This window comes from Homo sapiens, chromosome 12, assembly GCF_000001405.40.
Source record: "Homo sapiens chromosome 12, GRCh38.p14 Primary Assembly".
Taxonomy (NCBI): domain Eukaryota; kingdom Metazoa; phylum Chordata; class Mammalia; order Primates; family Hominidae; genus Homo; species Homo sapiens.
The window spans coordinates 54,229,491-54,252,466 of NC_000012.12; the positions used below are offsets into that span (position 1 = coordinate 54,229,491).

The 22,976-nt window shown below is 43.0% G+C and overlaps 1 protein-coding gene and 1 non-coding gene across 4 annotated transcripts in view, besides 1 other annotated feature; both read right to left on the reverse strand.

The window, feature by feature from the left end:
* Nucleotides 1–1,451: 1,451 nt before the first annotated feature.
* Nucleotides 1,452–22,976, reverse strand: part of CBX5 (chromobox 5) — a 49,181-nt gene continuing 27,656 nt past the window's right edge. For 2 of the 3 annotated variants that reach the window (NM_001127321.1, NM_001127322.1), the window contains exons 3-5: nt 22,551–22,737; nt 16,625–16,725; nt 1,456–12,415 (exon numbers count right to left, since the gene is read on the reverse strand). In NM_001127321.1, the coding sequence (NP_001120793.1) occupies nt 12,265–12,415; nt 16,625–16,725; nt 22,551–22,737 (439 nt within the window). In that variant the 3' untranslated portion in view covers nt 1,456–12,264. Of the gene's footprint in view, nt 12,416–16,624; nt 16,726–22,550; nt 22,738–22,976 lie in introns of all 3 variants that reach the window. The other variant, NM_012117.3, reaches the window with a different exon arrangement.
* On the reverse strand, nt 1,907–1,986 carry MIR3198-2 (microRNA 3198-2). The gene has a single exon (NR_039851.1). It is a non-coding gene; the product is annotated as a microRNA 3198-2 (primary transcript).
* Nucleotides 19,516–19,715: a silencer, noted in NCBI's record as "fragment chr12:54642790-54642989 (GRCh37/hg19 assembly coordinates)". NCBI's record gives its function as "represses an EF-1alpha promoter that drives an FKBP-Casp9 reporter gene in an ReSE screen in K562 erythroleukemia cells {active_cell/tissue: K562}" and the evidence as "EXISTENCE:reporter gene assay evidence [ECO:0000049][PMID:32094911]".

Here is a 22,976-nt window from a genome sequence, read left to right on the forward strand (position 1 = left end):
CGCCTGTAGTCCCAGCTACTCGGGAGGTTGAGGCAGGAGAATCGCTTGAACCTGGGAGGCAGAGGTTGCAGTAAGCCAAGATTACGCCACTGCACTCCAGCCTTGGCAAAAGAGCGAGACTCCATTTCAAAAAAAAAAAAAAAGAAAAACATAGAACTGTGTGCTCAGTGATCCAATGAAGGGGATTCCCACACAGTGATCCTCCATTTTCCCCAGGCTGCCAGTGCTGCACTGATTTCACAAGCTCTGAAGCTCTTTAATGAAGACAAAAGGAGAGGCAAAATTGCCCAGTTCCTGACTTCTCCAGCACACTGAGGCAAGATTCCTGGGAGGAGAGCTATGAGCAATGATGAGGTCATCTGAATGAACGCCATGCAGGCACAGCCCCTCACTGAGGGAAACAAAAACCAAGACATAGTTTAGGAATACAAGCGTGGGTGTCAAAACCCTGGAGTTGTGCTTTCCAGTGGGCCTGAGACAGAGACAAAGTGACATGATGTTTAGAGAGCAAGAAAGAGATCGAAAGGGAAGAGGGCAAGCAGTCTCAGGCTTCCATGGTAGGAAATAAATAATGTCCAGAAGGGTCTGGCTCTGAAGTGGACCAAATGGCTCTCCTGTCCCATGTTTATGAGGTCATGGACCATTAAGCCAGCCAACCTACAGATGTCTTCATAAGACTTTACGAGATTAGACTGGGGAGACCCTATAACTCAGCAAGAAAGGAAAACAAGAGGGGAGAATTGCAGGTAAGAGATGGTAGAAACAAGTGCTCCGCTCCAGAGGCCTCACATATCAGTGGGAGGATATCTGGGTTTGGTGACCCCTTCATCTTCCTCACTTCTCTCTTCTGTGAGTTTCTGCCTATCTCCATTAGATTCAGGGCTACATCAGGCTTATATTATTCGATAATTTCTTGATTATCCACATACTTTCCTCCTCCTAACTTCCAACTGACCTCACACCATGTTCCTGACCTGCAAGCCTTCCATCCTCAGAGAAGTTTCTTTGGTATTTGTGAAGCAAATCAGAAAGATAAAATACAAAGTTTACAAATTCACATATTTTCAAACCTGATTTAGACTGCATTTGCTTGATGTGGTATTCCATAAGTTCTAATAGCCATGAGATGACTCTTCCAGGGATCCCTAGGTTGCTGAAGCCTAATATTTATTCTCTGAACCATTAGGAGCAGAGAAGAGCATGGAAACCAGGAAAGGTACACACTGAACCAGTTAAGGAAATAAGAGTAGGAAACAGGATACGCATTATCTTATTTCCTCAGGCTTGCGCCAACCTGTGGTTATTTGCAGAAAGTCAGAGACCAATAATCCTTAGAAAAGAAGCCCATGTTCTCCAAGTCTTGTTGCTCTTTCAGAAATTGAGCTGACACTCCAGGGCCCAAATTAAAGAAGGGGCATAAGACCCAGATCTTTAAACCACCACTCAGAATCCATATTTGAAAAGCAACCATTTATTAGAACCAATACAAGAGTATGAAAAGGGGGAAAAGAGGAGGGTAGAAGAGGGGGAGAGAATGAGGTCTGCATCAGATGTCAGTTATGGAAACACATAAATGCTTACTTTTTAAACATTTACATTTAAAAGGTGAACATATATATAGACCACTTATACTTTAAAAAAAAAATCAAAAGCAGACATGTTTGGCTGAAATAAAACCAAGAAACACAGCTAAAACTCCCCCATAAACCTAAAAGTCCATGGAGAATTCAATTTCTCATTTCCATTCAGAAATCTGGCTACAAAGTGATTTGTTTGCTATTTGGGACAGTACAGAGTGCTGAAAGAAACCCAGCTCTTGAGTCTCTTAGATCCCATCCTGTAGGAAGTGGTGGGAAAGCCAGCGGACCATGGGCAAGTCAACTCCTGGCTACTTGGCAGGGAGTCAGACTGTGCTCTCTCCATTCCCCAGGACTCCACAGAACCATCTGGTACTGCTAGTGCTGGGTGAACAGTGAGAGCAGAGTCCACAAAACACAGAGAACCAGAATGTGACCGCAAGGAGCCAGGACCTTGTGCTTTTTCATGGATTACAAATCTAGGGCCAAGGAGAGGGAAAGCAGAAAGAGCCCTATTGGGAAGAGGAGCTGGCTGCGCCCCTAAACTGAGATGGAAAGAGTAAGGCTCTTGAGCCCACACCTGGCCAAGTAGAAATAGTGTCCAAAGTTTTCTCAAACCAGAGGGAAAAAAGGTCAAGGTTAGGTTCAGACTGCAGACACTAAGAGATGACAGATGTTGAATACGGTGAATGGGATGAAGCTTTAAGGATCAATGCCCAATTCTGAGTGTTATACACATTTCTAGGAAAAATAATTCCAATGTAGCTTTTGGGGGTGGGGGGTGGAAATAAGGTGGTCACATTTATTCAATCAGCTGGTCCCTATGAGGAAGGAGAGGCCCAGGTACAGATACCACAAAGGGGTACAGTGACCCAGCTGTCCTGGGATTGGTTGGGGAGTGGTAAGCAATGACATAAATCAAAACCATTGAGGGTTGCTTTGATCCTGAGACAGTCTGAGTCTGCTTCAAACCCATGGGGAAAGGAACTTTAATCCCCAACCTGCAGAGAGAAATACGCAGTAGCATCCCTGCCTCACGATTCCCTAATCCAATGCTCTTGAATCTGAAATGGCCTCCCTCTGTGAATGCAAGACACAGAAAATCCCAAGTGCCTTCCCCAACAACATCCTAAGTAAGTCTGGACTAGTAAGATTCCAACATTCATGAAAACACTGTCAACATCTGAACTAGCAGCTTTGATGAGGGGTGGGGGGCAGAAAATTTGCCGAGTCACTAAGTAGTTCCAGTCTTGGAGACAGCTCAGTGAGGACCAAAGCCTGTGTGTCAGGCTTAAACTCTGGCTCAAGACATCCTCCACAGAGGACCCTGAAGTATTCTATTAACTTTGATTTACAATGCCTCACAACAACACCCCTGTGAGGTAGGTCAGTATTATTAACCCCATTTGACAGATGGGGAACTGAGGCATTGAAAGAAGTGACTTGCCCAAGGTCAACCATTATCAATCAGTTGAGGAGGTGGGCACACAGAGTCAGCATCCACTCGATTCTTGTTCCATTTCCCAGAGCATTTTACCTCTCAGAGTGTACTTGGGAGCAGAGGGAAGTTGGCAGGATACACCTCATTCCACAAACTAGATTAATTCAATAACTGAAGGGTATTAACTGAGGGCCTATTATTTATCTAGTATAATGTGAGGAATCTTGGAAAAATGAACTGCTTCTGAAAGTCATGTTATAGATGTTTTGAAAATAAAATTACATCTTTAACATTAAGGACATGAATTATTTTGTAAAGAAATATTCACTTTATCTTAGGAGGTGAAGGACTAAGTCACACTGATTTCTCAGAGTTTTATACTGAGTAACCTGAATTCCTAAAATCCAGAAAGCAAGATCACATTCCAACAGAAACAATGAATAAGAACCTTTTCCCCAGTGGTGGTTCTTGGTAGCGCTCTTATAAAGCTGCAAGTTGGTGGCGTGGGAATCCTAGCACCACAAAACACCCTCTTACTACATCACATCCCTCCCCACAATACCCAGAGGGCTGCATTTTTCCAACCTTTCTGCCTCAGCTCAACTTCAAGAGTTACAGCATCTTCAAAAACACCTCAAGGGTAAGGATACAAATGGTGACCCCTGCTTTTCTATTCAGGGAGAGGGGATGAAAATATTCTCTGTAACTAATCATATAGACTCTTGAATTCTTTCCTCCTGTGAGAGATGTAACTCTTTAACAAAAAAAAGGTAGAAGAAAAAACAGTTATGTCTTTTCTCCCCCTTTGGATTTACTTTGGATTCTGGTAGAAATCATTATGTCTCTTATCCTAAACTGAGGAGGTGAGGGGTGAGGGTGACACGAGACAAACACCAAACTCACCACCAGCCCTCGTTTAGAATCCAATCCTAAAGCTACCGGAAACCAGAACACTGACTTGAGCCTTAAGAGTGTTGTGACATGATTAAACTGTCTTTTCAGGTGTTCTCAAAGAATTTCTAGGCAGAAAGCCTCTCCTTTCTTCCATACCTCTTCACAGCAGCCAGTGTAGGAAGTCCCCACATACAACAGAAACTCAAAAGATGATTTATCAACACATACAGTAAAATGTTCACTAGGGGCCGGGTGCGGTGGCTTATGCTTGTAATCCCAGCACTTTGGGAGGCTGAGGCACGTGGATCACTTGAGCTCACGAGTTGGAGACCAGCCTGGGCAACACAGGGAGACTGTCTCTACAAAACATTTTTTAAATAATAAAATTAGCCAGACACCGTGGTGTGCGCCTGTAGTCCCAGCTGCTTGGGAGGCTGAGGCAGGAGGATCATTTGAGCCCAGGAGATTGAGGCTGCAGTGAGCTGTAATAAAGATACTGTGGCCGGGTGCTGGCTCACGCCTGCAATCCCAGCACTTTGAGTGGCCGAGGCAGGCGGATCACAAGGTCAGGAGTTCAAGACCAGCACGGCCAAGATGGTGAACCCTGTCTCTACTAAAAATACAAAAATTAGCCGGGCATGGTGGCAGGCGCCTATAATCCCAGCTGCTCAGGAGGCTGAGGCAGAGAACTGCTTGAACCCGGGAGGCGGAGGTTGCAGTGAGCCAAGATCACGCCACTGCACTCCAGCCTGGGCAAAAGAGCAAGTTTCCATCTCAAAAAAAAAAAAAAAAAAAAAAAAAAAAGGTTCAATATGGATACTCTAGGTACAGGAACCATTCCAAGACCTAAATAGATTTTTTTTTTTTTCCTCACTGATAGCTGATCACATTAAACAGGTACAGGTGCTAAGAAAGTTTAAGACTGATCTTTTGGCAATGACAGTTTAGGTTAACTCTGTTTGGAATTCCTAAAAATAAAAAGAAATCCCTTAAAAAAGGCTGACAAACTGACCACTTGGCCTTGAATCGACTGTTAGGGTCACACCTGCCAATGCCAGGGGACATCACAAAAAAATAGAGAATGCCAAGATAAAAAGTTCACTGCATTCAATTTGGCCTAATTTCTTGATAATAGTTTCCTATTAGATTTTCCGATTAATACTGATGGCTCTTACCTAGGCTGTGATAATTAGGTTTTGATCTATTGTGACATTAATGATCACAATCAGTTGACTTTGAAATTGTCTTAATTAATGGCTCTTTCCTTGTCAGCTTTTGCCTCCAGTGCAGGATTCATTCCCTTCCCCACTGCCTTGTTTTAACTCCTTCTCTTACTGACCTCAGAAACAAATAGCATTGGAGGATCACTTTCTTCCCATAAAACAAGACTTTAAACTATTTTAAAACATTTCTCTTGACAGAGGAGCAATATGAGATGATGTTAGATGAAATGAGGATCAGAATGAAAAGGCAAGAGAACAAGCTGTCAATGAACAGGAAAAATTCCATCTTAGAAAACAACCAAAGTCAAGCACAATGTTAAAGTGACAAGTTGAAGTAACTCTAAAAAGACAAGATGAGGTAGATTAAAATCCAAGAAAGTCAGCACAAGCAAAAAGAAACCAGAATTGTTTTTATGAAACTATCTAAAAAACTTCACACTTTAACTTTCCAGAGCAGTTACTCTAATTCCTGGGAATTCTGACTTCCAAAGTTAGTCAACTCTCAATTATCCAGGCAGAAATAAATATCTTTTTCTTGTGGTCATCCATGGGTCAGAATCGACAACATCCTTACGATCAGACTGTTTCTTAACCCAGCTACGCTTCGATGATTAAATCTGAGACTCAGATTTAATATACAAGGTATATGTATTTCTGGCAAAGGTTTCCACATAACTGATACAATTCTCTGCTTAGAAATCACCCTCTCGGCCCGGCGGTGGCTCACGCCTGTAATCCCAGCACTCTGGGAGGCCGAGGTGGGTGGATCATGAGGTCAGGAGATTGAGACCATCCTGGCTAACAAGGTGAAACCCCGTCTCTACTAAAAATACAAAAAATTAGCCGGGCGTGGTGGCCGGCGCCTGTAGTCCCAGCTCCTCGGGAGGCTGAGGCAGGAGAATGGCGTGAACCCGGGAGGTGGAGCTTGCAGTGAGCCGAGATTGCGCCACTGCACTCCAGCCTGGGAGACAGAGCAAGACTCCGTCTCAAAAAAAAAGAAATCACCCTCTCTCCAGTATTGAATAAAACTGCACTGCTCAGAGTAGATGCTCAGGTATTAACAGATGTGCTCCAAGACTTCTCTTTAGAAAATCTCTTGTCATTGGAAAGCATGTCCGTTTTAGGCTTAAAGGCAGTTAAGTCTCATGTTCATTCCTCCAAAAGGGATGAGAAATTGAAAAAGGTGTGAGCAACTCTGGTAAAGTGTCCATGAGGAATATGTTGTTATAGAACCCACAATAATGTAACACAACTGAATCTGCAACATAGTTAATGCTTTCCACAAGCAAAGATTAACTCTACCACTACTTTGGCCAAGAATCTAAACCAGGGATGAAAATCAGGAGTTCTCAATCCCAACTCACCTGTTTTCTCTCTCAGTAATAACAGCATTTCCAACCCTCCAGCTATATTTATTTCCTGGAATATGTTCTTGTGTTCTATGGCCAGCTGGCTCAGTTCACCCAATGTTATAGGTCTTTTCCACATATAGGCCGAAATTAATGTCAACTTCTTACTCCAGGGCTACAAACTATACAACATCAGCCAGTCTGTCTCTGCCCCCAAGTCAGAAATGTGTATTGGTTTATAGCATTTATTATACCAAACTATTTTTTTTTTGAACAGAAACATAGCTTGTAAGCACTTAAACTATTAATGGTCAGTTCATCATACACCAGTATGAAAGTTATTTGAGGGCAGGGATGGCCTCTTTCTGAACCTTGTATCTTCAGGCCAAAAAAATGTCTGTTGAATGAAACCAATGTTGATGTACAGCAATGTGGCTGGAATTTAGAAAGCTTAATAAAAATTGGGTGAGGGGGCATCTAATTCAGAACATGTTTTTGGGTGTAAGGCTAGTATCATCTACTTTTGAAAACATAATTTTTATGATTAGCAGGTAAAGGTAGCATGAAACTGCAATACACTGGCTCCAGACCTTTCCTCTCTGCCTTGCCACAGGCATGCTTGGTGGTCTGATTACAAAAGTACGGATCTCAACACTATATTTTTTATTCTAAAATCTCAACCAAAATGATGGGATCATGGGTGCAAAGTGGGTTTTTCCTTTAAATTGTGAGAAACCATTTCCACATTTCAGATCTAACGGTGTTCTCATGACATTGCAAAGTAGTATTTTATGCCCTCAAAACTGAACCTTAAGGTAGAGACAATTGCTCCCCGGGCCAAACACAGATCCCTCCAACCCCTCACTGTACCTTAGGAAAGCTGGGGTAAACTACAGATTCAACAAAATCTCAATAAGAAAATCCCAAAAACCTTCCCCAATGCCCTGTGGTTTGGCCTGAACATAGGGAAAATGGACTGCTGGGTGGCTACAGAACAGGAATGAAGAGTTAAGAATAATAAATGCCTAAGTTACAGGGACAGAACCAATCTTTCATTAATGACACAAAGTAGAATGCACAAAGTAGTATGCAGTATGGCTGGGGGACAGTCAAGGACCATCTAGACTTTTAATTGTTAGAAGCACCACAGGTCCAAATGCTCCCCAGAGTGGACCAAAACTGGATTTTGTCCATGGCAACACTGTTCTCCACTATTCTGTCTATAATGAGAATATATCAATAGCAGGAAATCTACTTTCACACATGGCAAACCGCGAAGAAAAACAAGGATAACCTCAGACCACTTTTACTTGCTGTAAGTGGGAAAAACAAACAAACAAACAAAAAACCCCAGCAAATAAAGGATTTTCCATGAACAGAAAAGCAAATATAAATGCAGTTGATAAACTAGAAAGCAATCATCAACTAATTGCAGACTATAAAGATACCCAAAAATCCTTCTCAAAATAGCACCCCAGTGGATGGTAGTCAAGCTTTCCAGCAACCAGTTATTGATGATTCATGGCCTACATCAAATGAATAAGACTTCGATTTTTGATACCAACAATGTCCCCAAACCAAACTTAACAAAGCTAATGACTGCTTCTCAGTAATTCAGGAAAAATTTAGAAATATAGCATTGTGAGCAAAAAACAGAAGCTTGTTTTGGGGACAGGAATTCCAAGAGTCTGAGTGAAGATGTGGTTGGAAGCCTTCTCAAACATGCAAGTCCAGGGCTTTTCTCATCCTGCCTTCCCATCACCTGACCCTCCTCTGAAACCACCCCTCAAGTCTTTAGCAAAGTCAGGTATTACAGAGGACAGAGCAACAAAGAGGGCAACTGGAATTTAAAAAAAATTGTATTACTGAAAGTGCTCCATGAGAGCAAACAAATAATGACAATTTTATTTTTGTCCACAAAAATTTAATAGAGGTGGCCAGGCACGGTGGCTCATGCCTGTAATTCCAGCACTTTGGGAGGCCAAGGTGGGCAGATCACAAGGTCAGGAAATCGAGACCATCCTGGCAAACATGGTAAAACCCCATCTCTACCAAAAATACAAAAATTAGCTGGGCATGGTGGCACACACCTGTAGTCCCAGCTACTCGAGAGGCTGAGGCAGGAGAATCGCTTGAACCCAGGAGGTGGAGGGTACAGTAAGCCAAGATTGTGCCACTGCACTCCAGCCTGGTGACAGAGCGAGACTCTGTCTAAAAAAAATAAATAAATAATAGAGGTGAATGTCTGCATTAGGATCAAGACAAGAAGAAGACAGACAATCACTTTGGAATTCTGAGACTACCTCCAAGAATCATCCACGGAAGGATGTCAGCCATTTAACCAGGGCTACGGATCAAAAAGGAAAAAATACAGTCAGTGGACAAGTAGAAGAGTCTCCTGAAAAATATCCGTATTTGAAAAGGCAGCAGGAGTTGATAGAAAACATAACTAAAAAAGTAGAAGACACTGTTAAATTTGAATCTGGATCCTATATAGCTTCTTCTCTGGGATCTACTGAGGAGTGAAATCTAAATGAAGATTTAGCTTAGAAAGCATGAAGATAGTATGTTCCAATTTTAAATAAAAATTATATTGTCTGAAAGACAATACAATTTTAGTACTGGGGGAAAAAAAACTAGATTGTTATTTGAAGAAGAAAACATCATGGTTCTCTCCAGGTTTAAAATGGGTGCTCCCATGTAGGCTGATTTTCCCGGCATTTGATCTTAACTTGAAGGCCATCTGCCCAGCCCAGCAATCAAAGGGCTGCTAAGCTGTCCTTGGTAGCCTCTACTGGGCAAAGCTGTGCTATAACTCTGAAGAAAGGGAGATCTTTTAATGTTGATTACTGAAAGGCTTAGAAAGATGTCTTGAAAGAGGACTAAACACAAGAAAAATAAATTTTTAGCATTTGAGACTTAGGTGTTTAAGAGTGCTTAGCTCTTAACTATTAACTCTTCTGAGGGGAGAAAGCTCCATGAAACAGGTTTCTGTTTGAGGCTGTAATTCTTCTAGGGCAAGAACATCTACTCAACACTAACAAATGCTGGAAGCAGGCATCTGATTTCCTTTGTGCTAAGGGCTGAAATCAATACTGGCCTCTGGCTCCCTACATTCCTATAGAACCAGCTGCAGGTAGGCAGGAAGAGAACAAAAGTTGTTTTGGCGGCACTCAGTACAATAAACCGAAGACAAAAAAGACAGAGTAAAGTCTATTAACAGATGGTAAGTAGTAGATGATACTGGGGTTATTTCGGTAAAAGAATATCAGATTTTTATGAATGTCTTAAATATTACCTATAACCACAGCAGCCACATGCCCCAGGTTTCTCAGAACCAATCTCAGTACCAAATATTGTCATGTTCTTTGTCCACATACTAGGTTTTTGGTTTTAAAAATAAGGTCGCTGCAGTTTACATGCCCACTGCTACTGGGAGGCATACACTGGGCCACTTGGATAGGCTGTCATTTTCTGCAAATCAAGAGACCCATATCACCTCCTCAGGAGCTCTGGCCTATTTTTGTCCTATTCTTGTCTACCCTAATTGATATCCTTGGCTACATTTATGATAAATGTTTCCTGACCATCCTTTCCTTCTTTTAGATACCGATCAGATTAAGTACAAGCAATTGTCAATTATCCAGCACTTGATCTAGGCCTTTAATTCCTTCAGAGAGAGAAGGAATATAGAGATAAAACTCCCACCCACTTGAGGTATGGTTTATGAGCTCTTGCCCAATCACATTACCATTCAGAAGGATTTTCCTGGCTGACTTAAACCAAAAGCTTCATTGTTCCAGTCTGTCATGTCACTGCAGCAACAGCTGTCACCTCAATTATGCAGTATAATTTTTGACATAATTTATATAAGCACACAGAATTCAATCAGCAGCTGAGCAGGGAAGCAATGTTAACAAATGCTATGAATGGGTATATGATTTGCATATTATGTGGCTCATCTGTGGACTGGAGCAATCCATCCATTCCCCTCATTACTCTGAATAATCTAGAAATGGTAGATGCTCCTGGCCAGACAGCTGTATGTTTTAAAAATCAAAAACAACAAGAAAAGCAGCCTCATGGCTGGTGCGCTCTAGAATTAAGGCTATATTAAGCATTTATTCTTATTTCCTCAGCTTTGGGGCTGGGACAAGGATCCTCAAAACCCTGCTATTTCCTTACTTTTAATTGTGATTCTCTAGCCCTCCTCAACTACAAAAAGAAAAGGATAAAGTAGGGCATTTCTTGGGGGACAAAGGCAGAAGGATATGATCAGACAAATTTCTCAATAGCAACACAAGAAGAAACCAAAACGAAGTATTTTGCTGAGTAAGAAGAAAAGGGTGTGTCAACATGCTAATGCCAGGGCCTGTCACTTTCCAAGGTGACAGTCTTTCAGGAACATGCCTTTATTTTTATTTATATTTTTTAGAGACAGGGGGTCTCACTACATTGCCCAGGCTGGTCTCAAACTTCTGGCTTCAAGCAATTCTCCTGCCTCAGCCTCCCAAAGTGCTGGGATTACAGGCGGTAGCCACTGTGCCTGGCCATGAAAATTCATTTTAAAAAATAAGATACAACTATAAGTTTGAGGGTAGAAAAAGGGAAGAGCATTAATATTTTGGGGACTCTTGGTGGTAAATCCAGGAGCCAAGAATGCAGGAGACATAACTGCTATGAACACTTAAAATTGATATTGTGGCCAACAGCTCACCTCTAAAACTTCCCCACTGAAAATAATGGCATGGAAGGGAAACTCGGGTCCACTGAGAAGTGAGGGTCAGGTTTGAAGCCTCTTTGGTAACAGGAATGCTTTGGGAGGCCACAAAAGTTGGCAGGGTTGGAGGGTGCCTAGCACCTTGGCACAAGCAAGCACCAGGCAATCACTCACACCTACATAAATATACAGTCTAAATATGAGGAATGGAAAGAAATCATACATACATACCATATATGATAATAAAGACAATTGTACCCTACCCCATCATCCTCATGTACTATAGCTACAAATCTGCACAGTTAATAATCTTGTCATTTTATCACAAATTGATATCACTTTACAGAAGCAGAAGTGGGGAGTGCTAAAAGCAATACCGAAAGTCCTGGGGCTAAAAAGAGTGTCTTGACAGATTTCAGTGTAAAATTTCAAATCTTCCAAAGGATGGAGTAATTCTGGGAGGATGAGTGAGGATGAACAACAGAGGGTGGCCCAGAAGACCACACCAGAAACCCTGTATTCTCCTGGGTAGAGCTGAACAAGGTTGGGAAAGCCCCAACAGGTAGGCAGTTGCTATTGGCTTTTTAACAGATGGGCAACATCCTTTCCATCTCAACATGTCAGAACAAAGGCCAGCTAGTCAGCAACATGTTCTAAGAACCAAAGCAAGAAACCAAAATTCAACATCATTGTAACAAAATCCCCCAACCTAAAAAGCGACCAACCCTGAAAAGATCAAGACTCTAAGGTGATTAAAAAGTTGAAACTCATCTTGAGGTCACAGGGAAGCAGAAGGAAGAGATCAGGGCAAAGGAAAAAAAAATTGTGGGTATTACACTCAGTATGTAAATGCCTGGTCTTCACAGAGAGACACTTATCATTAATCAGACCATCAGTTATGTTACAAGAGAACCAATACCAACATTTCTCCTGTGGAGCACAGTGATAAGCACATTTTTTATGGATGTGTTTAGGATAGAAAGGGGTGGGTAGAAAGGAGAGGAGGCAGGGAGGTGAATGTATTATGTACAAAGAGAAATGACAGAGACCATCCCCTCCTTTAGCTCTTTGCTGTTTCTTTCTCTTTGTTTTCCGCATCCTCAGGATATGCATGCCATGTCAGTCTCTCTTCATAAAATGCTATCACAATTTGTGGACATTTCACATTAGCTTCTTTTGCAAGAACCAGGTCAGCTTCATCTGTGTCTTTCCTGGAGAGAAAGAATATGAGACTTAAAAGGAGAGGAAGAGTGAAAGAATCTGTCCAGACATACGTTTATGTCATTATATGGATTTAGTTGACTTGATTTCCTCCTCACCTTGGTTTCAAGGTGAAAAGGACCCTTTCAATATTTTCAAGAAGAAATGTAAGTAAATGGATTAATAGCTAATATATTATACAGAAACAGATGTCTGTAGCTAGAATTTAGATGTAAACCATGGTGGGCTTAGGTTAAAAAGATGAATAATAAATAATATTAATCTGCTTCCAAAATTTTTATTTGTGAATATGAGCATGTGAGTGAACCCAATCAAACCTACATTCAGGGGCCGGGCACGGTGGCTCACACCTGTAATCCCAGCACTTTGGGAGGCCGAGGCGGGTGGATCACGAGGTCAGGAGATCGAGACCATCCTGGCTCACACGGTGAAACCCCGACTCTACTAAAAGTACAAAAAATTAGCCGGGCGTGGTGGCGGGCGCCTGTAGTCCCAGCTACTCGGGAGGCTGAGGCAGGAGAATGGCGTGAACCCGGGAGGCGGAGCTTGCAGTGAGCTGAGATCGCGCCACTGCACTCTAGCCTGAGCAACAGTGCAAGACTCCGTCTCAAAAAAAAAAAAAAAAAAAACCTACATTCAGCTCTATTGATTATGCACAAGTCAATTATACACAGGTTGGTCAATCCAGTTTCCAGATCATCTAAGTGAAGGGGTCTTAACCCTCCTCACCTTGTGTCCGTTTAAATACTCATTACCCCTCTGGCCAGAACTGTGGATTGGAACAACGAGCAAATAAAAATTTAGCTACAAATTTCAATTATCTCAGTAGGGCCTCTAATACCAAGTATAACAAAAAAAAATCTAGCTACATGGTTCCTTAAGCATGATTCCAAATCAATTAAAAAAAAATTAAAATTATCCTGAGAAGCTCAGGTGCAGCAGCTCATGCCTGTAATCCCAGCACTTTGGGAGGCTGAGGCAGGTGGATCGCTTGAGCCTAGGAGTTTGAGACCAGCCTGGGCAACATGGCAAAACCCATCTCTACAAAAAATACAAAAATCAGCTAGGCATGGTGGTGCATGCTTGTGGTCCCAGCTACTTGGGAGGCTGAGGTGGGAGGATCACTTGGGCTTGGGAGGTGGAGGTTGCAGTGAGCTGAGATTGAACCACTGCACTCCAGCCTGGGCAACAGAGTGAGACCCTGTCTCAAAATAAATAAATAATAAAAAACAAAATAGAATTATCCTGAGATGTGGACAAGAAAAATTACCACCTTATTGGAGCAGATACTCAAATTTGGACTATGGTGGAAAAAGCCAATTAATGTTAATGTAAATTGTAAGTAACCACATATGGCTGAGTAGGAAAAAGCAGTCCAGCCCAGGCACAGCGCCTCATACCTATAATCCCAGCACTTTGGGAGGCCGAGGTGAGAAAAGCACTTGAGCCCGGGGCAACATAGGAAGACCTGGTCTCTTCAAAAAACTTTTTAAAAATTAGCAGGCCATGGTGGCATGCACCTGTAGTCCCAGCTACTCAGGAGACTGAGGTAGGAGGATAACTTGAGCTCAGGAGGGCAAGGCTGCAGTGAGCTGTGATTACGCCACTGCACTCCAGCCTGGGTGACAGGGCGAGACACTGTCTAAAATAAAATTTTTAAAAAGCAGTCCAGCCTCAGCGTGGTGGCTCATACCTGTAATCCCAGCACTTTGGGAAGCCAAGGCAGGTGGATTGCTTGAGATCAGGAGTTCGAGACCAGCCTGGCCAACATGATGAAACCCTGTCTCTACTAAAAATATAAAAATTGCCCAGGTGTGGTGGCACATGCCTATAATCCCAGCTACTTAGGTGGCTGAGGGATGAGAACTGCTTGAACCTGGGAGGCGAAGGTTGCAGTGAGCCGAGATGGTACCACTGCACTCCAGCCTGGGTGATAAAGCAAGACGCTGTCTCAAAAAAACAAAACAAAACAAGCAGTCCATATAGCTCCTTACTTCTGACAGAATATGGCAATTCTTCAAATACAGGTTTCTGGGTAATTTACCAGCAGTACTCTCATCAGATAAAATGTTAAGCCTTTTGATTATACAACTTTTTTTTTTTTGAGACAGAGTCTCGCTCTGTTGCCCAGGCTGGAGTGCAGTGACAGGATCTCGGCTCACTGCAAGCTCCGCCTCCCGGGTTCACACCATTCTCCTGCCTCAGCCTCCCAAGTAGCTGGGACTACAGGCGCCTGCCACCAAGCCTGGCTATTTTTTTTTTTTATTTTTAGTAGACACGGGGTTTCACCGTGTTAGCCAGGATGGTCTTGATCTCCTGACCTTGTGATCCGCCCGTCTCGGCGTCTCGGCCTCCCAAAGTGCTGGGATTACAGACGTGAGCCACCACGCCCGGCCTTGATTATACAACTTTTAAGGTAACATGTTTCTTTAGTGGCACTGCAACACAAACCCTCTATGTATCACAAATTCAGAATACTTGGAAACAGAGGTAGTGAGGACCACAACATAAATCACTCTGTCTTTAAGAAATCAAATTAGGGCTGGGCGCAGTGGCTCACACCTGTAATCCCAGCACGTTGGGAGGCCAAGGCAGGCAGATTGCTTGAGGTCAGGAGTTCGAGACCAGCCTGACCAACATGGCAAAACCCCATCTCTACTAAAAACACAAAAATTAGCCAGGCATGGTGGTAGGCGCCTGTAATCCCAGCTACTTGGGAGGCTGAGGCAGGAGAATCACTTGAACCCGGGAGGCAGAGATTGCAGTGAGCCAAGATCGCGCCACTGCACTCTAGGCGAAAGAGACTCTGTCTCAAAAAAAAAGAAATCAAATTGAGAAGAACTACTTCCTTTTCATCTAAGAGCCATCCTCTCTCTACTGGATGAAATAACTTGTGCTTTGGCCAGTATTAGCTTTAATGCTTTTTGTTGAGATTATTTTTCTCTTTTAGACATTATTCAGCAGGTTTGGCCCTCAGTGATGGCAGAAAGCCTCATTTGATTCCTAGCCCAGGATCACAGGCCCATGGTCTTACAGTAAGTAATTCAGAACTGTGTAAACAAGTGGTTAAGTCATGTTTTATATATATATATTTATTATTATTTTTTTTTTTTAGAGACGGAGTCTTGCTCTGTCGTTCAGGCAGGAGTGCAGAGGCTCGATCTCAGCTCATTGCAACCTCTGCCTCCCAGGTTCAAGCAATTATCCTTCCTCAGCCTCTCAAGTAGCTGGACTACAGGCATGCGTCACCACGCCCAGCTAATTTTTGTATTTTTAGTAGAGATAGGAGTTCACCATGTTAACCAGGCTAGCCTCGAACTCCTGACCCCAAGAGATCCGCCTGCCTTGGCCACCCAAAGTGTTGGGATTACAGGTGTGAGCCACTGCATCCGACCTTTATATATTTTCTACCTCAAATTTACCTTTTTTTCTGATATGTAGTACTATAATTTACTTAATAGCAATCCATTCTGAAGCATAATTCCCATTTAACACCAATAATTGGTATCAGTTAAGGATCTCTGACATTCCAGGAGTTCAAGACCAGCCTGGCCAACACAGCAAAACCCCGACTCTACTAAAAATACAAAAATGGGCCAGGCGCAGTGGCTCACGCCTGTAATCCCAGCACTTTGGGAGGCCGAGGCAGGCGGATTACTTGAGGTCGGGAGTTTGAGACCAGCCTGACCAACATAGAGGAACCCTGTCTCTACTAAAAATATAAAAGTAGCCAGGTATGGTGGCACATGCCTGTAATCCCAGCTACTCGGGAGGCTGAGGCAGGAGTATCGCTTGAACCCGGAGGCGGAGGTTGCGGTAAGCCGAGATCGCACCATTGCACTCCAGCCTGGGCAACAAGAGACTTTGTCTCAAAAATAAATAAATAAATAAATAAATAATAAAAATACAAAAATTAGCCAGGCATGGTGGCGGGCACCTGTCATCCCAGGTACTCGGGAGGCTGAGACAGGAGAATCACTTGAACCCAGGAGGCGGAGGCTGCAGTGAGCTGAGTGAGATCGCACCACTGTACTCCAGCATGGGCAACAAAGGGCGAAACACTGTCTCAAAAAAAGAAAGATCTCTGACATTCAAAATTCATGGTTTGGGAATATGCAGTCTTGCCACCCTATCTTCCACACAAATTCAAGTCACTGGCAAAGAAACACAATTGTAAAGCGAAGCCAAATCTCTCTCACCATTTCATTAGGAACATTAAATCACCACAGGAATCTGTTGCCCCAATGATCTTTTCTGGTTCCAGTCCTCTCTCAAAGCCCCGAGCGATATCATTGCTCTGCTATAAATAGAAGATAAAGAAAGGTTACAGCTTGTGGAAAGAGTAAAGAAACTCCCTGCTTCTAGGCTCAACAAAACATAACCTAAGTTAATATCTCCTGATATCATTTCTTTCACCAATTCAGAAAAATTTTTAGAACTTAATACTAAGTACTGACAGTGACAATGAAGTGACAGTGATGTCAAGAGATATTTTTGTAAGATGTGATTATCTTTCCTGGAATTCCTCCAGAAGACTGGTGGTGAACCCTAAAAGTCTCTAATGTCCTATAAGATACTCCGGAGTCAGAGGCATGGTGGCTCACGCCTGTAATCTCAGCACTTTGGGAGGCCAAGGCAGGCGAATCACAAGCTCAGGAGTTCAAGACCAGCCTGGCCAACATGGTGAAACCCCATCTCTACTAAAAATACAAAAAATTAGCCAGGCATGGTGGCAGGTGCCTGTAACCCCAGCTACTCGGGAGGCTGAGGCAGTAGAATTGCTTGAACCCGGGATGCGGAGGTTGCAGTGAGCTGAGACCGCACCACTGCATTCCAGCCTGGGCAACATAGCAAGACTCCGTCTCAAAAAAAAAAAAAAAAAAAAGAAAAGGGGCGAAAAGAAAGATACTCTGGAGTCAACATCTAGGAACTCCTCTAATCCCACTCACTTGGAATCTCCTTAATATTGTAAATAAGCTTCTGAAATGGTAAAGAATACCATGTTTACCCTAACTGTATCTTTTCATTTTACAAACTTCAAATATACTACCTCTCTCTCAATCTTTATTTTTTTAGACTTTTAGTTTACCTTAACACTAAACAATAATTTTGACACATTTCACAGTCACCTGTGTTTATGGAAGAATAGAGGTAAGAATTATGTAAGGCCAATACTATTAAATAGCAAAATTTCAGAGATCATAAACACCAATACCTATATGCTTGGTTAGAGAGAAGGCCCTGGTCAGTGCCTATCCCCTCTGGATGTAGATGACTGTTAGCATTAGAAGGTAGAACCGGACTGTGACTGAAAACAAAAACAAACAAAAAAGAAAACAAAAACAAAAAACTGGCCTGGTGCAGTGACTCATGCCTGTAATCCCAGCACTTTGGGAGGCTGACATAGGAGGATTGCTTGAGACTAGGAATTGGAGACCAACATGGGCAACTGTCTCTGCAAATTAGCTGGGCACAGTGATGCACACTTGAAGTGTGCTACTCCGACTCAGGAGGCTGAGGTGGGAGGATCCCTTGGGCCCAGGAGTTCAAGCCTGCAGTGAGCTATGATCACGCCACTGTGCTCCATGGTGGGCAACATAGTGAGAACCTGTCTCTTAAGAGAGAGAAAAAATTTGATAATTCATGAGATGAGTATTGAAACTTGGTCTAAATGTAGTAATACAATCTAGACAAGGAGCACAGGTTCAAATCCATGTGTAGTAACACTGATGAGAGCCAAAAAGCAAAATTTTATACAAGCCAGGTAATTTTTTTTTTTAGACAGTCTCCCTCTGTTGCCTAGGTTAAAGTGCAGTGGCGCAATCTCAGCTCACTGCAACCTCCACCTTCCAGGTTCAAGTGATTCTCCTGCCTCAGTTTCCTGAGTAGCTGGGATTATAGGTGCCTGCTACCACCCCTGGCTAATTTTTTTTTTTTTTTTTTGAGACAGAGTCTTGCTCTGTTGCCCAGGCTGGAGTGCAGTGCCACAATCTCAGCTCACTGCAACCTCTGCCTCCTAGATTCAAGCGATTCTCCTGCCTTAGCCTCCTGAGTAGTTGGGATTACAGGTGCGTGCCACCGCACCTGGCTAATTTTTCCATTTTTAGTAGAGACAGGGGTCTCACCATTTTGGCCAGGCTGGTCTCAAACTCCTAGCCTCAGGTGATCCACCCTGCCTCGGCCTCCCAAAGTGCTGAGATTACAGATGTGAGCCATCACACCCGGCTACGCCTGGCTAATTTTTTGTATTTTTAGTCGAGACAGGGTTTCACCATGTTGACCACACTGGTCTTGAACTCCTGGCCTCAAGTGATCCACACGCCTCAGCCTCCCAAAGTGCTGGGATTACAGGCGTGAGCCACCGCACCCGGCCCAAACTAGGTAATTTGAAAAAACTTTATTATGGAAGATAATGCTAGCCTCTCTAGTGGCAACACACACACAAAAAAAAGATTTAGAGATGCCCAAATGAACTAAATCTCTACTGCCCGATTTTCATAATAAAATCTCTTTGATCTTATGTTCACCTGCTTTCCTCTGAGACATACAAAGCATTTGGGGTCCGGGTGGTCCCCAAAGATACCAAAATTCACAATTGGAAGGACATTCCACGCGTGGATCAATGAGAGATACTGACTTTTAAAAACATAGCCTCTTTTGGGGGTGCTTAAGGGGAAGAAGTTCCCAGATGTGCACACAGCTGCTCACAGCTGGAATGCTGGTGCATGGACTAAGTTGTAAATCATAACTGGCAACTGAAAACAGTTTGCTACATAGGGAGGGAAGAGGAGGCGAATGGAAGAAAAACGTTCAAGCTGCTGAAAAGGAGCCAGGGCGAAGAAAATGCTAAAATCATCATACAGGCAGTAATCTTAAATCAGGCATAATGCAAACTAACAAATTTCTTCTCCAGTGGTCTTAAGAAATAAACACAATCCCCTCCTATACCTTTAAAACATACAATCACCTATCTTTCCAGCTGTCTACCTGACAGCAGCCAGTACTGCTAAGAATGCTATCAGGGGTCCCAGATGAACATTATGATGTAAGGGACATGTGGGGGTTGTTTTCAAGGTCGGCAGCTTCAGAACCTGGCCTAGGAACAAAACTCTGTGCACTGGCCAGTGGCTCCAAGCCAGATTATTCAGACTGCTCCTTTTTAAAAATGACAGAGGCCAGGTGTGGTGGCTCATGCCTGTAATCACAGCACTTTGAGAGGCCAAGATGGGCGGATAACGAGGTCAGGAGATTGAGACCATTCTGGCTAACACGGTGAAACCCCATCTCTACTAAAAATACAAAAAATTAGCCAGGCATGGTGGCATGTGCCTGTAGTCCCAGCTACTAGGGAGGGTGAAGCAGGAGAATCGCTTGAACCCAGGAGGCAGAGGTTGCAGTGAGATTGTGCCACTGCACTCCAGCCTGGGCAACAGAGTGAGACTATGTCTCAAAAAAAAAAGAAAAAAAAAAAATTCTAATTTTACTGGTCTGGGGTGCATCTTAGGCACTGGAGATTTTTTTTTTTTTTTAACGTACCCCCCAGGTGATTATAATGTGTAGCATTGAGAACTAATGCTCTAGAAAGGTATAAATCTAATTAGAATGAAGATACATAGGGATGATTGTGGCAGCTACTCTGGAAGGCTGGAAGATTCCGAAGTAGACTTACGCTTTTATGAAATGTAAAGTGTATGATACATCCTTCACCACAAAAGGCTTCATAACCTTGAAATAAATAAAAGGAATGGAAGCTGGGGGCGGGAGGAGGTGGTAGAGTGTGTGTATTTATGCGCCCACACACAGATGAAAAGAGAGAGAGGCAATAACAGTGCTTATGCTACTTACTTGAGAGCTAAAGATCAGAAGGATTAAAGCAACTAAATCAAACCAAAATTTCATAAATACACTTCCCAAACTGAAGAAGATTCAAAAGACAAAAATTAATTTTGTACGCCAAGTATGTAGAAATAATAGATCAAGAGAATATAAATGCCACTGAACTGTACATTTTAAAATTGTTAATTGAGCCAGGCATGGTGGCTCACACCTGTAATCCCAACACTTTGGGAGGCCAAGGCAGGTGGATCACCTGAGTTAGGGAGTTCAAGACCACCCTGACCAACATGGAGAAACACCCTCTCTACTAAAAATACAAAATTAGCTGGGCATGGTGGTGCATGTCTGTAATCCCAACTACTCTGGAAGGCTGAGGCAGAAGAATCACTTGAACCCAGGAGATGGAGGGTGCAGTGAGCCAAGATCATGCCATTGAACTCCAGCCTGGGCAACAAGAGTGAAACTCCGTCTCAAAAAAATAAATAAAAAATAAAAATAAAAATACAAAAATTATCTGGCTATGGTGGCACATGCCTGTAATCCCAACTACTCAGAAGGCTGAAACAGGAGAATCACTTGAACCCAGGAGGTGAGGGTGCAGTAAGCCGAGATCACGCCCATGCACTCCAGCCTGAGTGACAGAACAAGACTCTGTCTCAAAATAAATAAATAAATAAAATATTTAATTGTATATTATATGATTTTCACTGCAAAAAAAAGATTATCAAGGATTGAAAACAAATGCTATCACTGGAACAAAAGAAAGGGCCGGGGCCGGGCGCGGTGGCTCACGCCTGTAATCCCAGCACTTTGGGAGGCCGAGGCGGGTGGATCATGAGGTCAGGAGATCGAGACCATCCTGGCTAACAAGGTGAAACCCCGTCTCTACTAAAAATACAAAAAATTAGCCGGGCGCGGTGGCGGGCGCCTGTAGTCCCAGCTACTCGGGAGGCTGAGGCAGGAGAATGGCGTGAACCCGGGAGGCAGAGCTTGCAGTGAGCCGAGATTGCGCCACTGCAGTCCGCAGTCCGGCCTGTGCGACAGAGCGAGACTCCGTCTCAAAAAAAAAAAAAAAAAAAAAAAAAAAAAAAAAGAAAGGGCCGGGCGCGGTGGCTCACGCCTGTAATCCCAACACTTTGGGAGGCCAAGGTGGATGGATCACAAGGTAAGGGGTTTGAGACCAGCCCGGCCAACATGGTGAAACCCCGTCTCTACTAAAGATACAAAAAATTAGCTGGGCATGGTGGCGTGTGCCTGTAATCCCAGCTACTTGGGAGGCTGAGGCAGGAGAACTGCTTGAACACAGGAGGTGGAAGTTCCAGTGAGCCAAGATCGCACTATTGCACTCAAGCCTGGGTGACAGAGCGATATTCTGTCTCCAAAAAAAAAGAAAAAAGGAAGTGAAATGGTAAACATTTCAAAGCCCCGGCTGGGCATGGTGGCTCACGTCTATAATCTCAACACTTTGGGAGGCCAAGGCAGGCGGATCACGAGGTCAGGAGTTCAAGACCAGCCTGACCAACATGGCGAAACCCCGTCTCTATTAAAAATACAAAAATTATCAAGACCATCCTGGCTAACATGGTAAAACCCCGTCTCTACTAAAAATACAAAAAAATTAGCTGGGCGTGGTGGCAGGCGCCTGTAGTCCCAGCTACTCGGGAGGCTGAGGGAGGAGAATGGCGTGAACCCGGGAGGCAGAGCTTGCAGTGAGCCAAGATAGTGCCACTGCACTCCAGCCTGGGTGACAGCAAGACTCTGTCTCAAAAAAAAAAAAAAAAAAAAAAAAATCAGCCAGGTGTGGTGGCATGTGCCTATAATCCCAGCTACTACTGAGGCATGAGAATCGCTTAAAGCCGGGAGTTGGAGATTGCAGTGAGCTGAGATCCAGCCACTGCACTCCAGCCTGGGCAACAGAGCAAGACTCTGTCTCAAAACAAAACAAAACATTTCAAAGCCCCTTTCTATTCTTAAAAAATTCACCAATGATCCTCCTTCTCTAAGATAACTAAGTCTTCTACTTATGGAGAAGGCAGAGGAGTGGTTTAACATTTTACAAAGATTTAATTTTGCCCCCTTAATACAATCCAGTGGCCACAAATTACATTTCTCACTTAGCCAGGAGAGGGAGCTGTAATCAACATACCTCCCTGGAAGCTCTTTTGTTCAACAATTTACCTTATAGGTCCATCCTTACAATAGAAATAACCAAAATATGATACTTTTATTTATTATTATTATTTTGGTGGCAAAAGAATAGTTTTTGGGGAAAAGGGAAAGGAAGCTTACCTCTCTCTTTTTTTTAGATTTGATGTCATCGGCACTGTTTGAGAAATTGGATTTCCTCTTGTTACTTTCTGACTTCTCCCTGGGTTTATTATTTTCACCCTCCTTCATCTTCTTATACTTTTTCATAAATTCAGAAATTAGCTCAGGGCAATCCAAGTTTTTCTCAGGTTCCCAAGTATTGTGCTCCCTGGGTAAGAAAAATGGGAAAATTAAAAAAAAAAGGGGGGGGTAAAGAATGAGGAAAAAAATCCAATGCCTTATTTCAAAGAGGACATTCGGACAAAAAGGACAGAGAAACCCTATGCTTTAAAGAAGATAACAAATTTGATCCTAGATTTCTACCCAGGAAAAATGAAAAAAAAAAAAAAGCCCACACAAAGACTTATTTACAATTGTTTACAGCAGCATTTTAATAGCCAAAAACAG